General features: G+C 34.1%; 1 long non-coding RNA gene across 1 annotated transcript in view, besides 1 other annotated feature; it reads right to left on the bottom strand.

Moving 5' to 3' along the window:
- LOC102724495 (uncharacterized) overlaps positions 1 to 12,388 on the bottom strand; it is a 63,056-nt gene extending 50,668 nt beyond the window's left edge. Inside the window, exon 1 of the long non-coding RNA XR_428238.2 lies at positions 12,334 to 12,388. This is a non-coding gene — a long non-coding RNA (uncharacterized LOC102724495). The remainder of the gene's footprint in view (positions 1 to 12,333) is intronic.
- Positions 18,640 to 19,148: an enhancer, noted in NCBI's record as "NANOG hESC enhancer chr7:117893129-117893637 (GRCh37/hg19 assembly coordinates)". NCBI's record gives its function as "activates a minimal SCP1, AML or CMV promoter by ChIP-STARR-seq in primed H9 embryonic stem cells {active_cell/tissue: H9 hESC(primed)}" and the evidence as "EXISTENCE:reporter gene assay evidence [ECO:0000049][PMID:30033119]".

Here is a 19,148-nt window from a genome sequence, read left to right as displayed (position 1 = left end):
GGAAAGATACAGTCTTTTTTCAGACAAACAAATGTTGAGAGAATTTGCCACTACCAAGCCACCACTACAAGAACTGCTAAAAGGAGCTTTAAATCTTGAAACAAATCCTAGAAACACATCAAAACAGAACCTCTTTAAAGCATAAATCTCACAGGACCTATAAAACAAAAATACAATCAAAAAAAAAAAACAAGATATACAGGCAAAAAATAATCACCATGAATGGAGTAGTACCTCACATCTTAATACTAACATTGAAAGTAAATGACCTAAATGCTGCGCTTAAAAGATATAGAATTGCAGAATGGATAAGAATTCACCAAAAAACTATCTGCTGCCTTCAAGAGACTCACCTAACACATAAGGACTCACATAAACTTCAGGTAAAGGGGCAGAAAAAGATATTCCATGTAAATGGACACCAAAGGCCAGGAGGAACAGCTATTCTTATATCAGACAAAACAAATTTTAAAGCAACAGCAGTTAAAAAAGACAAAGAGGGACATTATATAATGACAAAGGGCCTGTCCAACAGGAAAATATTCCAATTTTTAGTATATATGCGCCTAACACTGGAGCTCCCCAATTTATAAAACAATTACTCAAACCTAATGAGATAGCAACAGAGTAATAGTGGGGAACTTCAATACTCCACTGATAGCACTAGGCAGATCATCAAGACAGAAATTCAACAAAGAAACAATGGGTATAAACTACATCCCAGAACAAATGAACTTAACAGATGTTTACAAAACATTCTACCCAACAACTGCAGGATATACATTGTATTCATTAGCACATGGAATGTTCTCAAAGATAGACCAATGATAGGCCACAAGACAAGTCTCAATAAATTTAAGAAAATTGAAATTATATCAAGTACTCTCTCAGACCACATTGAAATAAAACTGGAAATCAATTCCAAAAGGAATCTTCAAAACCATGCAAATATATGGAAATTAAATAACCTGCTCCTGAATGACCATTTGGTCAACAATGAAATCAAGATGGAAATTGAAAAATTCTTTGAACTGAACGACTATAGTGAACAACCTATCTAAACCTCTGGAATACAGCAAAGGCGATGCTAAGAGGAAAGTTCATAGCGGTAAATACCTACACCAAAAAGTCTGAGGAAGCACATATAGACAATCTAACGTCATAACTCAAGGAACGAGAGAAACAAGAACAAACCAAACCCAAACCTAGCAGAAGAAAGGAACTAACCAAGATTGGAGCAGAACTAAATAAAATTGAAACCAAAAAGAAAATACAAAAGATAAATGAAACAAAAAGCTTTTTGTTCTTTGAAAAGATAAATAAAATTGATGGACCAATAGCAAGATTAACCAAGAAAAGAAGAGAAAATCCAAATAAGCTCAATTACAAATGAAACGGGAGATATTACAACTGACACCACAGAAATGTAAAAGATTATTCAAGGCTACTATGCCTCCACCCAAAAGCTACTTAAGCTGATAAGCAACTTCAGCAAAGTTTTAGGATACAAGATCAATGTGCAAAATTTGTTAGTATTCCTATACACCAGCAACAGATAAGCAGAGAGGCAAATCATGAACAAACTCCCATTCACAACTGCTACAAAGAGAATAAAATACCTAGTAATAGAGCTAACAAAAAAGTGAAAGACCTCTTCAAGAAGAACTAGAAACCACTGCTGAAAAAATTCAAAGAAGACAGACACAATCAAATGGAAAAGCATTCCATGCTCATGGATAGGAAGAATCAATATCGTGAAAATGGCCATACTGCCCAAAGTAATTTATAGATTCAATGCTATTACCATTAAACTACTATTGACATTCTTCTGAACTGGAAAAAAAGTATTTTAAAATTCATATAGAACCAAAAAAGAGCTCATATAGCCAAGAGAATCCAAAGCAAAAAGAACAAAGCTGCAGGCATCACACTACCTGACTTCACATTATACTACAAGGCTACAGTAACCAAAGCAGCATGGTATCAGTACAAAAACACATTGACCAATGGAACAGAATAGAGAACCCAAAAATAAGAGCACACAGCTGCAACCATCTGATCTTTGACAAACCTGACAAAAACAAGCAATGGGAAAAGGATTTCCTATTTAATAAATGGTGTTGGGAAAACTGGCTAGCCATATGCAAAAAGTTGAAACTGGACCCCTTCCTTACACCTGATACAAAAATTAACTCAAGATTGATTAAAGACTTATATGTAAAACCCAAAATTATAAAAACCCTAGAAGAAAACCTAGGCAATACCATTCAGGACGTAGGCATGGACAAAGACTTCACAACGAAAACGCCAAAAGCAATGGCAACAAAAGCTAAAATTGACAAATGGAATCTAATTAAACTAAAGAGTTTCTGCATCTCAAAAGAAGTTATCATCAAAGTGAACAGACAATTTACAAAATGGAAGAAAACTTTTGCAACCTATCCATCTAAAAAAGGTCTAATATCCAGAGTCTACAAGGAACTTAAATAAATTTACAAGAAAAAAAAATCATTAAAAAGTGGGCAAAGGACATGAACAGACACTTCTCAAGAGAAGACATTCACACGGCCAATAATCATATGGAAAACAGCTCAACATCACTGATCATCGGAGAAATGTAAATCAAAACCACAATGAGATACCATCTCATACCAGTCAGAATGGTGATTAGTAAAAAATCAAGAAACAACAAATGCTGGCAAGGATGTATAGAAAAAGGTACACTTTTGCACTGTTGGTGGGAATATAAATTAGTTCAACCATCGTGGAAGATGGAGTGGCGATTCATCAAAGATCTAGAAGCAGAAATATATTTGACCCAGCAATCCCATTACTGGGTATATACCCAAAGGAACATAAATCATTCTATTATAAAGATACATGTATATGTATGTTCATTGCAGCACTCTTCACAATAGCAAAGACATGAAATCAACCCAAATGTCCATCAGTGACAGACCAGATAAAGAAAATGTGGTAAGTATACACCATCAATATTATGCATTCATAAAAAGGAATGAGATCATGTCCTTTGCAGGGACATGGGTGGAGCCGGAGGCCATTATCCTCAGCAAACTAGCACAGGAATGGAAAACCAAACACTAAATGTTCTCACTTATAAGTGGGAGCTGAACAATGAGAATACATGGACACATGGTAGGAAACAACACACACTGGGGCCTGTTGGGGGCTGCAGGGAAAGGGAGAACATCAGGAAGAATATCTAATGGAGGCTGGGCTTAATATCTAGGTGATGGGTTGATCTGTGCAGCAAACCACCATGGCACACGTTTACCTAGGTAACAAACCTGCATATCCTGCGCCTGTACCCTGGAAATTAAAATAAAAGTTGAAGCAAAGTAAATAAATAAATACATAGTTAAACTCCAGATTAGAAGAATTTATTTGCAAAATGAAAATATGACAAAGGGCTAATATATAGGATATATAAAGAATTCTCATAGCACAATAATGAAAGTAAATACATAAAAACATAAAATATATAAATAGCTCACAAAAGAAAACATATAAATGGCCAATGAGTGGATGAAAAAGTGATCACTACCATTAGTCATCAGGGAAATACAAGTAGAACCACTATTGGAAGCCTCTACAAGAACAAACCTCTACACGAAAAAAAACACAAGAACGGCTAAAATTAAAAATATAGACAATACTAACTGATGGTGAGGATGTGGAGCAACTGAAATTTTCATACATGGTTGGTAGGAATATAAAAAGGTAAAAACACACAGTTTCTTATTTAAAAATCAAAACAGCCTTGAACAGATACGATCATAGCAGTTTATTCATTATACCTGAAAACTAGAAACTTCTCAGATCTTAATCGGAGAACAGATAAAATGTGGTAAATTCTATAGTGCAATACTATTCAACAAGACAAAGAAAATAAGTATTAACACATACAACATTGATGAATCTCAAAGCAGTATGTGGAGTGAAAGTAGCTTTACCCAAAACAGTAAATACCACAATTCAATTTATGTAAAATCCTAGAAAAGGCAAAACTACTCCAGCCAGAAAAAAAAAAAAAAAATTGGTGGAGAAGGGGGATTGAATGGGAAAGCAAATGAAGGAATCCTTCTGAGCAAAGTTCTGTATCTTGATAGGGTTTTGAGTTACACAGTTACATGTATTTGTGCGTACTCATCTCATAGTATACTTAAGATTTGGACATTTCGTTTTATATAAATCTCACCTTAAAATATATAAACGTAAATATAAAAGTCTAGTTAATATGTGCTCTTAAATATTTGAGAGAAATTAGTTGAGAGGAAATACTGATGTTTGTAACTTACTTTGAAATGCATTAATAGAAAGGACTGATGGGTGGATATAGGGCTGTATAGATGGGTAAGTATGTGATAATGCAATATATAGAATAGAAAAGCCTAGGTAGAGGGTAAATATAAATTCATTCAAATTTTCTTAATGTTTGAAAATTTTTTTCAAAAATAATGAGATAAAAAAGGCACTTACAGAAAATGTGATTTTTACGTGATTTTAAAATGTTTCAGTATGACATTTTAAAGGTGATGGGGATTTGGTCATAAATTTAGAAGAACTTAGGTTTCAGTGCCAACTCAACTACCTTCCATCTGTAATTTTATATGCAAGTTACTTTGCCTTCCTCAGCTGTGGTTTTCTATTCTATAAAATGAAGATACTAACACTTGAGCAACAGAGTTGTAAAGATATTTACCTAGGAGAGAATACTAGCCCTTTGATAACTACAGATTCCTCATCATTCCTCAGTGTTTCTTATAAAATGCCATTCCAGGGAACACCATGCCCATGGGAAAGATTTTTGTTGTGAGTTACAATATTTGACCTTGTGGACTTCTAATAATCTCTTTCAACTCTAGGATTTCATGTTTGGACATGTCAGTGAGTCCTAAGTGAATTTCTTACATTTTTATATAGGGTCTCTACATTTATTTTTCTTAAGATATGGGCATTTCATTGTATACAAATATTACCTTAAAATAAATATGAAACTCTAGTTAACAATATGCATGCTTTAAGTATTCGAATATAAGCACTACTTACCAGGACATTATTGAATTTAATGTTATATACCCATTCCACTTCCTAATGATATGAAATGCTGCACACTGCTTTAAAAATCTGCAGTGAAATTGCATCAGCCCCAAAAGAACGAAGTAAATATACTTATTAATCTTATACTTAATTTATAAACTTTCTTCTCAAGGCTATTTAAGCTATCAAAGGCACTTTGAGGAAAATATCATTGATAGAATGGAGGAAGCTTAAGCTCTGGAAAATGAATCCACCTATAAATCTCCACAACAAGAAAAAAACTCTAAGATTTATTGGCTGGTAAAAGGAAAAAAAAAATGTTATCAGGTCCAAAATGAATGTTTACATATATATATATATGTGTGTGTGTGTGTGTGTATATATATACATATATATGTATGTATATATATACATATGTATATGTATGTATATATATACATATGTATATGTATGTATATACATACATATGTATATATGTGTATATATGTATATACCATACATACATATACCATACATATACCATATCTGTATATATGTATATATGTATGTATATATATACATATGTATATGTATGTATATATATGTGTATATGTATGTATATATATACATATGTATATGTATGTATATATATACATATGTATATGTATGTATATATGTATGTGTATATATACATACATATATATGTATGTATAGTTTTTTTCATTCACCACAAAAACTTGACTCTGACACAGAAATGATTGCTCAAAACTCCTTTGAATGAGCTTACATGAGAAATACTCACTTCAGGCTTCACCATCATCATGGCTACCATCAATTATAGCTCATTACACTGACTCTAAAGAGAAAGAGCCTGGCTTGGAACACCAATGCAGCTGGGAAACACTGTGAAGATTTGGCATGCAGAACACAGACGTAATTTTTGCTGCTTTCTATCAGAAGAGGTTTTATAGCAAAAAGTAATGTAATTGATATACTTAACACAGTTGTAAAACAGGTTTAAATTTGAGTTTGCTTGTTTTTGGAATTAAGCCTTTTGGGAAATAACGAAGTACTCGTTTATTGTATGCCTTTTAGAAATTTCTTAAGAATGAATAGTTTTTATTAGCAAATTAAATGTGTTGGATATAAAGTTTATTATCTTTGAACACAGGAAAATTCTGTTTGGACACATCTTTTAAAATATTACGTTTTGAGGAAATCTGTTTTCCCTGTATCTAAAACAAACTACTTCAAAATGCTGACATTTTGAATTTTACTACAATGTTATATTTTGGGTGTATGTGTGCTGAAAAACTAATGCAATTTTTCCATTTCTCCAGCCTTATTCTTTAAGCTAAGCTCCTCTAATTCATTTGAATTTCTATTCTCATATGTAATAGAACATTTATAGATGAACATATTCAAATAGAATATATCTACAAATAAGCTACATTTGTAGCATTTTTGCTTAATGTGAAGGTTGCCCTCTTAAGAGAGCCTCCCCCAACATTTGTATCTGTAGAGCTAAGAGAAATTGCTATAACACAAAACATCACCAATGCATTTTTACAATGCTGAATGGCTCCTCACAGAAACAAGAAAAAGAAAATTCAGAATATGAAACTTTTAATATGTGTTGTACATATTAAGAATATATGAAAAAAGAAATTTTACTAAGAGTTATCACATCAAGTTCTTCCAGAAAGGTAGTTCTCAACCAGAGGTGACGTTGTGCCCCAAGCAAACATTTGGCACAATCTAGAGACATTTTTGGTTGTCACGACCGGGAGAAAGGGATGCTTACAGGCATACAGTGGGTAGAGAATAAGAATGCTGCTAGACATCCTACAATGCACAGGACAGTTTCCCAAAACAAAGAATTATCCATCCTGAAGTGCCAATAATGTTGCAATTGAGAAACTCTGTTCTGGAGGCAGAAAATCAGTCAAATCACAAAGCCTATTTAATGCATAAAATATCAACAATAAAACAATTGATAAGAGTGGTAATATACATAACAACCTACACATTAAAACTGTGGTGACAGAGACAGCAATAAACCTTTCCAGCTTCACTTTAATTTTTAGGCTTCCCAGGCTGACACAACAGGGGGTTGAGTCATGTACACAGAAGATGTTAGTGTGCCTTCCTTGTAAGGAAGACAGAAAGTCATCTGTGTGGCAGACTGCTTCCTCTGGTTCCATCACCACCACCAGCACCACAACACTGTTCCAGCAAAAATTTCCCAGGCAATAAGGTGAGAAGTAGTAGAACTGCTGAGAATCAGTCATATAGTTGTAACCTACACTTCTCTGCTAACCCAGGCTCCATTGCTGGATTGACAGACCATTTTCCCTTTATTTTTGCAGACTACCATTTGTTGGAGCCGTCTCTTTAACCATTATATTGAACTCTGTTGGTGAACAGAGATCAAAGACTTTTTTCCTGGGCTTCCTGACCTCTATGTACATGAGGAGATGCAAATGGATATTTGAGTTTGAGGCACCACCCAAGCCCACTTACTAGAGGCATCTAGCCCCCACTATAAATCTTCACACCAGAAGCCACCGAGCCACATCACGGTAAGTTCTGATTTAAAAAACCTCTCCAAGTATTGTTAAATGTCCATGCCTTACAAGTAAGGCTCGAACTGGTGCCTAAAGTAGAAAAATTCGTAGTAGAAATAACCATCACACAGGCTATCTTAATAAGCTTATTGTTGCTAGAGTTTGCTGGTTATTCACATATTGTCCACCTACCATGCCCCAGATACATTTTCAGCCTTTCTCTGTACCCTTTCTCTATTCTTCAAGAGTCTGAACCCTACAGACTCCATCTTGCCAACTGGCTCCCATTTGTACTCAGCCAGTGGGAGGTGGCAGTGATCAGAGGGTAAGGAGAGAACGATGTCTGTGTATTCCTCACTCTCTATCTAAGATGTGTTTTCTGACAGTGCTTTTATCCCTCTGTTACAGCGGTTCCTGTCCTGCACCCGTTGTCCAAGGACTCCAGCTGTCATTGGACTACTAATGGCATCTCAATATTGCTAGTCTCTAAATTATCCAACTTCCTTGCTGGTTTCCTTAATCCTGACATAAGTCTCTAAATTCTATCTTCCTTTATGTCTCGTGTTATCTAAGTTTGATAGTTTCTTTCTGGGACTTTGATTGTTATAATGAATACTCTATATGTTACACATATTTACATGTGTTTTACCACTCTATTCATGTAATAACTTAGTTTCTTCAAGCTGCAATAGTAGATGAAATTCTCCACAAAAAGCACCTATCAGAAGAGGACCAGTCAGGGAGGCAACTTACCGCCAGCCACCACCAAATATATTACAGTAGCTACAATTCAGTAATTAAAAGATTAACTTCCATATTATCAAGATTAATAGGGGACATGAATAACAAGATCTCTTATGACTTTCTACAATATAAAACATTCACTAACACCAATAAAATTAAACTAATCTCAGCACTAGATCATTTTGCATGAACAGTCATTTCTACTGATGATATGTCTGTCAGATCACTGCGTTATTTTTAATATATAGTAGGACAGGAAATTTATTAGACAGTTTACAGCGCCGACAAGTTCTGCTGATCTCAGCAGTGTTGCCAAGCAAAAAGAAATATTATACGATGGCAGCATTTGTTCTACACACACAAAAAAAAATCTAAGCATATTTCTCCCTTATTTAAATTTGTTCATGGAAACCATTTTCTACAGATAAGTGAACAGTAAAAGTGTTCGCAATGTGCTACTTTATTCCTATCCAGAGCAGACAAAATGAGAACCATGTTTTCATAAATAAAAAGCAACAGACCATGTTATTGCCCTCCTCTTTGAGTCCTCTACCCATGAGTGTATGTGCAGTGGGGGAAGGTTCTGCTTCACACTGGACAATGGAACTCAATATTGATGAAATTTGCTGATGGTCAGTTTTTGGATAAAATGTTTCAGCACAGAACACAAAGGCCATGTTTCCTCTAAATACAGCAGGTTTAATTTGATTTGGCTAGTTAATAATAAATATAATGATTGCAAAAGTAAATCAACTAAGAAAAATACCACAGTACAAGGAACTTATGTACTACGTAATTTCCAACCATGTTCTCCCCAGCGAAGAGTTTAGTTAAAATCTTAGTGCACCAGAAGAGTTGCCAAACACCTTTGGTATGGAATTCAAATTTAAAATAATTTAGTATAGCTTGCTTATATAAAAAATATCTGGATACATTATTAAATCACTTGTAAATGCTTCGATAATTCACAGACAGTATAAACTTAGAGGTAAAAGGAAAAAAAGTTGAGGCATGATTAAGGCACCTAACATTTACCCGTATTCCCTACATAAGTCAAATTCATAGTAAATTCTGAAAGACTGTTTGAATAAGTGATTATGTTACTTCCATTGATATAGGAATTTTTCCCTTATGTGTTAATTAGATGCAAATCTTAGGCAAAACATTTTCCTCACTACCTAGACTTGGCATACACAAATATATTTAAAAGATACCAGTCATCAAGTGGAAATACAGCTGGTGTCCTCCCTACTCTCTATTACAATGCACTGAATTTATGTAAAATAAATAACTCTTTATTAAATGGATTTGGCTACAGTAAATCCTTGAAGAGACTAAAAGGAAAAGCTAAAATAAAATATATGCATTGATGTGTACTTCAGAATTAATAAAAACCATTTTGTGGCTGGGCATGGTGGCTCACACCTGTAATCCCAGAACTTTGGGAGGCTGAGGCAGGCGGATCATAAGGTCAGGAGATCGAGATCATCCTGGTTAACACGGTGAAACTGCATCTCTACTAAACATACAAAAAATCAGCCAAGCGTGGTGGCAGGCACCTGTAGTCTCAGCTACTCGGGAGGCTGAGGCAGGAGAATGGCGTGAACCCAGGAGGCAGAGCTTGCAGTAAGCTGAGATTGCGCCAGTGCACTCCAGCCTGGGTGACAGAGCGAGACTCTGTCTTAAAAACAAACAAAAAAAAATTTGGTAATCTAGATGTAGACTTTAAGAATTTATTTTTAGAGCTGGAAAGCCTAACTTTCCAGCTCAAGATACTCATTGAGCATCTACTATGTAGTCAGATTACATATTAATCTGATTAATAGTGCTAGATACTCTTAGGGACACAAAAATATAAAGCATTACCATTCAAAAAGCTGTCCTTACAGAGAGAAGATATACTCTCATAAAGTTATTAAATATTTGGTAGTATATGACTATGATATGATAGTACATTGCTGTAAGATGATGTCTTAGTTTAGGTTTTCAACCATGCATTCAAATTCTTGACTCAGTATTTTTTTTTTTAAGATACAGAAAATTTTATTGTGGTAATTCAGAGGACCTTGATTAGGCATGGAGATAATAAACAAATTAAGGATATAATTGGAGGAAGTGCCACCTTTACATAATGGCTCTGCAAAGATTATATTCAAATAATTATCCTTCATTTGTAGGCTGATAAAATAATTAAGATAACAAATATGACCCTAAAACTGTTTTAGAAAATTACTACTTTAACAACAATAAAAATCATCCTATTTACAAACAAAAATAAAAATTATTATTACTCCTAGTACCACCATTTGTTGAGCACTTATTTTGGGCCACTCATTGCATCCATCAGGCAATATATACTTTATTCCATTTAATCCTCACCTCAGTACTATGATTTAAGAGATACTATCCTCATTATACAAATGTGGAGCAGTCCCTCTGTTTTCTTTTGTGGAACCACATCTCCTCTATTGTTTATCCGTATGGCTCAGGTAGGGACTTAGTATTAATAGCAACAACACAATACACAAACACACACACTTCCCAGAGTACCAAAGCCCTTCCAACATTGTTCATCTCTCCTGAAGTCTGTCTTTACTTTCTGTCTAGTGAAAATAAACCCTCTTTGTGACTGCTTCTGTTTTTCCAAACTCCCACCTTGAAGATTTTATAGTAATATTTTGATCAAACAGGTAATACCTTTACATAAAGAACATTTCGGCCAGGCACGGTGGCTCACGTCTGTAATCTCAGCACTTTGGGGAGGCCAAGACAGGCAGATCACCTGAGGTCAGGAGTTTGAGACCAGCCTGATAAACATGGCGAAACGCCGTCTCTACTAAAAATACAAAAATTAGCCAGGAGTGGTGGCACATGCCTGTAATCCCATCTATTCAGGAGGCTGAGGCAGGAGAATCGCTTGAACCCGTGAGGTGGAGGTTGCAGTGAGCCAAGATTGTGCCACTGCACTCCAACCTACGCAACAGAGTGAGACTCTGAGAAAGAAAGAAACAGAGAGAGAGAGAGAGAGAGAAAGAAAGAAAGAAAGAGAGAGAGAGAGAGAGAGAGAAAGAAAAGAAAGAAAGAAAGAAAGAAAGAAAGAAAGAAAGAAAGAAAGAAAGAAAAAGAAAGAGAAAGAAAGAGAAAGGAAGGAAACAAGGAAGGAAGGGAGGAAGGGAGGGAGAGAAGGAGGGAGGGAGGGAGGGGAGGAAAAGGGAGGAAGGAAGGAAGGAAGGGCATTTCTACTCTGTCTACTCTGAACACTAACTTTTGAAGTAAAAAAAAAATGTTTTTTTCTGTTTTTAAAAATTTCCTGTAGCTTACATACAACTGCCAGCTATGCCAGCTAGGTATTACTCAAAATTTATATTTATTACTCTTTTGACAATAGCTTGAATTTATATATTGATTTCATTTTTAAATTTTTATTTTCTAATGAACAACAAAAAATAAATAAGGCCCCATTACAGAATGGATTACAAATGTAATATTTAACCTAAATTAATTCTCACAACAGATTATGTCGTCGATAAAAATGAGCCTCAGATAGGTTTGAAAACTTAACCATAGCTTTAGAGTTCAAAAATGGCAGGGGATGAATCCAAATCCATTTTTTAAAGAGAAAACCTGGCATTGTTTCCACCACTCATTTGTGCAGAGTTCGGGCTTTTATCCTATTGAGCTAGGGAGATGAAGCCTGAGAGCCAGACCCAGGTAGTTACGGCAAAGCAGGCAGGTGGCTTTCGCCATAGGGTTGTGTGCTGGCAGGCCCCATAAAAGGATGAGAACAAAATACAAAGATATTCAGAGCCAGTATAACCTAGCGGTTCTTAGGAAAGAATAAACTCAACAGCTTTGAATATGTACGAGAGTTTATAGTCTTACAGCTAGGAAAAATAACACAAAAGGCTCCAGACTTTTCTTTTTTTAAAACTGATATAGAGGTATTCAATACCCGAAAACAATAGGAAATGATTAGTCTCACCTTGGGTTGTTGGTTCCTCAGGCTTAGAATAGTCCCCAAGAATAAGCTCCAAACTGTGAAAGGGAGGGAAACAAGAAAACATTTGGTGCCTGAGGTTTAAAACAGTAGTCAAAGTTGACAGAGTCAAGAAGGTTGGTATTTCCAAATAATGTAAGTTTTATTAGAAAATGAAGTTATGTATCATTCATATACTGAATACTTATATTAGATTTTTCTACACAGCTGAATAATGTGAAAGAAAATTAGAAAAATTAACATTTTACATGCATTAGAATTCACTAAATTTTAGTTAAAACTTCCAGTACAGATTCGAGAGTAAAAGTGTATTCTTATACAATGTATAAATTATAACATATTCAAAAAGATGTAACATTACGTTATGAAATCTATGGCATATTTTCATATTTTCCCTCAAAACTAGCAAAATTCCCAGTGTTAATTTTAGAAAAAATTGTGTATTCTTTTAATTAATCAATACTTATAAATATAAACCATGATGAGTACTATGTAAACTAAATTTTAAATTAATTTGAAAAATACAACTGTATTTCCTGATATGAGCATGAATTATCAGTTTGTGAAACTCAGATGCCACCTATTGTTTGGAAAAATAAACACAACTTTTTTTGAGTTCTATTTTTGCTAACTTACATGTCTCTGGAAAAATATGAATATTGTACCCATAAAAAGTCTGGGCTCTCCAACCATATAGAATAGTTAATTTTCAAGGCCATACGCATATAAAGTAAAGTGCCCCTAAATTTATCTTAGGTTGGAAGAAATAAACTATCCTTAAGTACCCATATCTTCAGAGGAGCAGGTTTTAGCCTAGTAACTTTTTTCATATGTATATAATTTTTAATTAAAATTTTTTACATTAAATTATTGTTAATTTGCATTCAGTTATAAAAAAATACAGAGAAATCCCATTTACTCTTTACCCTGGTTTCACCCATGCAAAATGACTAAAATATCATCATTGACATAGTCAAGATATAGAACATTTTTGTAATCACAAGGATCCCATATGTTGCCTTTTTGTAGCCATCCCTACATCCTTCCTGCCCTGCACTACTTCCTTAACCCTTTGCAACCACTAATCTGTTCTCCATTTCTATAATTTTGTCATTTCAAGAATGTTCTATAGATGGAATCATACAATATAAGAACCTTTGGGTCTTGCTTTTTTCATTAAGTGTAAGTCTCTGGAAATTTACACAGGTCATGGTATGTACCAACAGTTTGTTCTGCTTTATTGCTAAGTAGTATTGTATGATATGGATGTACCACATCCATCTAGGTCATCTGACAACCTAGATGTCCATAAAGGGGTGTAGTAGTATTGTATGATATGGATGTACCACAGTTAAACAAACTTAGGAAAGGATCACAGTTAAACTGTGGCACATCCATATCATACAATACTGCTCCTCCCCTTTAAGGACATTTAGGTTGTTTCTAGATTGTGGATATTACAAATAAAGCTGCTATGAACATTGGTGTACAGTTTTAATTTCCATTTCCCTAATGGCTAATGATGTTGAACATCTTTTCATCTGCTTATTTGCCATATATATATCCTCCTTGGTGATGTGTCTTTTCATTGATTTTGTCCTTTTACTAATTGATTGTTCTTTAAGTTTTGAGTGTCCTCAATATAATTTACATACTAGTCTTTTATCAGATATGTAATTTGCAAATATTTTCTCCTATAATAGATTGTGGCTTGAATTTTTATTCCCTATAACGACGTCTTTCACATAGCAAAAATTTCCAAATTTAATGCAGTCTAATTCACTGAATTTTCCTTTAATGGACCAGGCCTCTGGTGTCAGGTCTAAGACCTCTGGCTTAGCCCAAACCTAAAGATTTTCTCTATGATTTTTTTTTCTAAAAGTTTTACATTTTTATGCTTTATATTTAATTCCATGATCCATTTCTAGTTTATTTGCATACAAAGTGAGACTTAGCTCAAAGTTCATTTTTTGGCCTATGGATGTATGATAGCTCCAGCTCTCTGTTTGTAATCTGTCCTCTATTGAATTGCTTTTCTGTCTTCGTCAAAATTCAAGCATATTTGCATAGGTCTATTTCTGGGTTCTCTCTTCTGTTTCATTAATTTATGTATCTATCCCTCCACGAATACTACTACACAGACTTGCTTACTAGAGCCATATAATGTCTTTGAATCAGGTAGAATGATTCCTTCCACTTTATTCTTTTTTCAAAATTGTTTTAGCTATTCTAGTTCTTTTGCCTTTCCATATAAATTTTAGAATAATCTTGTCTATATCTACAAAATATCTTGCTGGGATATTGATGAGATTGCATTAAACCTACATATCTACTTGAAAAGAATTGTCATCTTCACCATGCTGAGTCTTCCAATCTACAAACACATTATGTCTCTCCATTTATTGAGATGCTGTGTTCCTCTCATCAGCATTTTGTAGTTTTCAGCATATAAGTCCTGTACATGTTTTCATTTACAACTATTTCATAGAAGTGTTTTCTTTATGAAAAAGTATTTTTAATTTTTATGCCCACAGGTTCATTGCTAGTATACAGAAATACAATTAATTTTGTATGTTTAGTTTGTATCTTGCGACTTTGACGAACTCACTTATTAATTCTAGTAGCTGGCTTTTGTTTGTTGGTTTAGGTTCCTTCAGATTTCATATGTAGACAATTATGTCATCTACAAATCAGAACAATTTTATTTTTTTCTTCACAATCTTTATGCCTTTTATTTTCTTTTCATGCCTTTATTATGCTGTCTAGAAATTATATGACCATGTTGACTACGTGAAGCCATCTGAATCTCGAGTTCTCTTTGTGAAAAATATTTATCTACATTTCTTTAGTATGTAGAAGTCTATTTAGTTTATATGTTTCTTCACATGTAGCATAAGAATCTTCAAACAATATACTTCCACATATTTTCTTTCCTGCATTGTCCTTTATTTTTATGCATGTTACATCTCTATATTTACATATGTTATAAACTTTTAAAAGGTAAACTTCTTATTTACTCTCACATTTCCCATTTCTACAATCCTTTCTATTTATTTATTTGTTTTAATTTTTTTTTTTTTTTTGAGACAGAGTTTCACTCTTGTTGCCCAGGCCGGAGTGCAATGGCACGATCTTGGCTCACCGCAACCTCCACCTTCCACCTTCCAGGTTCAAGTGATTCTCCTGCCTCAGCCTCCCAAGTAGCTGGGATTACAGGCATGGACCACATCGCCCGGCTAATTTTGTATTTATAGTAGAGACGGAGTTTCTCCATGTTGGTCAGGCTGGTCTGGAACTCCCGACCTCAGGTGATTCGCCCACCTCCGCCTCCCAAAGTGCTGGGATTACAGACATGAGCCACCGCACCTGGCCTCTACAATCCTTTCTTTGTTCATATCTAACTTTCTATCTCTTGTTATACTCCTGTCTAAAGAACTTCTTTTAACATTTCATGTCTGCTGGAAAGGAGTTATTTCTGCTTTTTGCTGTGTAAAAAAAGACTTTCACCTTCCTTTTTTAGGGATATTTTCACTGGGTATATAATTCTAGGGTTTACTTTTTTTCTTTCAAGCTGTATTATTAAGATGATGCCCTCTATTGTCTTCTGGATTGCATAGTTTCTAAAAAGAACTCTGTTGTAATTTCTTCCTTGGTTACTCTCTAAGTTAACTTTCTTTTTTTTTAGGCTGCCTTCTGCTACACATATAAACCAAGTTGAAAAAATATTTTTGATCTCTAAATTTTCACAAAAGTCAAGTATTCTTAATTATAACCATTCATAAATAGTTTTGACATTCCTGTCATTTCTGATACACAAATCCATTTGAAGTAAATAATTTACCACATAAAATGTACATAAATATCATGTTCACAAAGGTGATGAATTCGTTTTACTCCTGTAAAGAAAATATGCCATTATTTTTAATATTTCTCTGTGTGACAACATAAAGAATCACTGTGCTTCCTGCCTGTTTTTTAAGATATTTCTTTAAATGTCAAACAAGTTGCTTTAAAGTGATAGAAACGGATTCCTTTGGTGGAATTAAGCTTTATTTTCTCACTGACTATACCTCTAAAATTAAGGAAGAACAAATACATTTATTCTTCTGATCCATACTTTTGATATCACACATACAAAGCTCAGGATAGTGTATAAGTCAAGATAGATTGTATTTTGCTATGGCTAAAGAAACTTCAGTGGCTTAAAACAACAAAGATTTATTTATGTCCATGCTAGATGTCCACCGCAGGTTGACTGAAGCTCTGCTCTGTGTCATCTACACTCCAAGATCCTGGTCACAGCAAGTGATCATACCAAACTTCACATCAAGGACATGGCAAGATATTTCTGAAACATACTGCATTCTACTACAGTTAGACATATTACATGTAGACAAAAACTCAAATTTTCAAGTCTGGGTCTTCTCACAGGTATTTAATATAGATTGGTCAATTCTGTGAGGTTTGGTATGTTTTTATATGTAATCATTGACAGTATTACTATTAAAAGGCTCTTTCACTTGCAGCGTCTGAGATTTGGGAACAATGTAAACAAGACTGAGACAGATTCAGTTAACTGAATATCACAACGTATTTTTTTATCTTATTCTATCTATCAGCACTTAGGGAGCTTCTACGCCTGACTCAAAGGAGGAAACGTTCACAAAATTTGAAAAGTGAATGTGTATCTATACTATATACCAGCTGCAATTTCCTTATAATTCTATGCCTTCTATTACCATAACAATTCAGGCTCTTTAATGTATAGATAGAATCACTATTAAGAGAGAGGCCAAAGGAAAGTGTTACTATTTTCCTTTTCTGGTGTATTACCCAAACTGTTGTTTTTTTCTCAGGAATTCTTGATATCCCATTATATATGGGAGCAATTAACTGATAAAATTCCAGTGGCCCGCTTAACTCCCACCTTCCAAGTTCCTATTCTTATACTTTGTCTTCCTTAAGATAATACTTTGATTCTTTAACTATAATAATAGAAATATTATAATACTTATAATTATGTATTTATAAATTACATATTTATATATTTATATTTATAATTTATAAATTTATAATTTATACATATATTAAAATATATATGTAATTTATATATAGTTTATAAATTATATATAAATTATAAATTATAAATATATATTTATAAATATATTATTTATATATTTATACATATATTTTATATATTTATAAATATATAATTTTATATATTTATACATATATATTATATATTTATACATATATAATATTATATATGTATAAATATATAATTTTTATATATTTATAAATATTTATAAAAATTATAATAATAGAAATATTCTATTCAGGGCATCAGAAGACCAACATTTCCCATAAGGCTTCAGGGCTTCTGCTGGCATTTGGATTCTTCAACAATCCCAATAGTTTTGAGTCCCAGAGTAGGTGTGGTTCACTTGACTATGAAGGCTTTCAGTGTACAGCCAAGTCTTTTGAATAAAGTTGGATGATCCTTCTACCAAGTGTGTGCGTATGTGACTAAAAGAAGGGTAGGGTACAGATATCTAAACCTGAAGCAGAAATCAGAAATCCATCGTGACATTCTATCACATCTTAAATTTATCTTACTTAAATAGAAAGGAGAAGCTTCTTACTAACTTTTAAGAAACATGAAAATACACAAGGATGCCTGTAATCCCAGCACTTTGGGAGGCCGAGGCGGGCGGATCACGAGGTCAGGAGATCGAGACCATCCTGGCTAAAACGGTGAAACCCCGTCTCTACTAAAAATACAAAAAATTAGCCGGGCGTAGTGGCGGGCGCCTGTAGTCCCAGCTACTTGGGAGGCTGAGGCAGGAGAATGGCGTGAACCCGGGAGGCGGAGCTTGCAGTGAGCCGAGATCCCGCCACTGCACTCCAGCCTGGGCGACAGAGCGAGACTCCGTCTCAAAAAAAAAAAAAAAAAAAAAAAAAGAAAATACACAAGGATGATTCATAAAACACATGTTCCCCTTCCTTATTGTCTCTGAATGGTCAATCTCCAGAAAGCAGGAAAGAATTCTTACAGTATCATACTTGTAAATAATAGATAATCACTGTAGTCTATTAATCTCATGTGCTTCTAATAAGAAGAAAAATTACACTTGATGTGGATGGCTCAGTTGCATTTTCTCCAGAATCTCCATTATGTATACATTCTTCTCAAAATCCAGCATTAATTCCTCAAATATTTTAGTTACATCGACTACATAGATTTTTATACATATAATTTTTACCTTATTTTTTATTTATGCCTGAATTATCAGGGACATAATCAACATTAAACAAACAAAAAGGAATGCAAACTGTCTCCAGATACACTTCTTGTTGACAATTGAGCAGGTTATTTCAAGGATAAAGGCAGACCTATTTTAATGTGGAGATTGGATCAGTAATCAAAAAGCGTCTCAACAAAGAAAAGCCCAGAGCCAGATGGCTTCACTAGTGAATTCTACTAAACATTTAAACAAGAGTTAGTGTCAGCCTTTCTCAAATTCTTCCCCAAAGTGAAGACAAAGGAGCACTTGCAAACTCATTAAGCCAGCATTCCCTGATATCAAAGACAAACAACACAAGAAAAGAAAACTACAGGTCAACATGTCTGATTAACATAGAGGCAAAAATTCTCCACAAAATACTAGTAAATTTAATTCAGCAGCACATTAAAAGATCATATATCATATCAAGTGGGATTTATTTCTAGGATGCAAGGGTGGTTCCATATCCAAAAATCAGTCAGTATAACCATGCCCATTAACAGAACTAAGAGTAAA

The sequence above is a fragment of the Homo sapiens genome, chromosome 7 (assembly GCF_000001405.40).
Source record: "Homo sapiens chromosome 7, GRCh38.p14 Primary Assembly".
Lineage (NCBI taxonomy): Eukaryota > Metazoa > Chordata > Mammalia > Primates > Hominidae > Homo > Homo sapiens.
The sequence above is the reverse complement of the archived record's forward strand: the minus strand, read 5'-3'. Positions and strand labels throughout refer to the sequence as shown.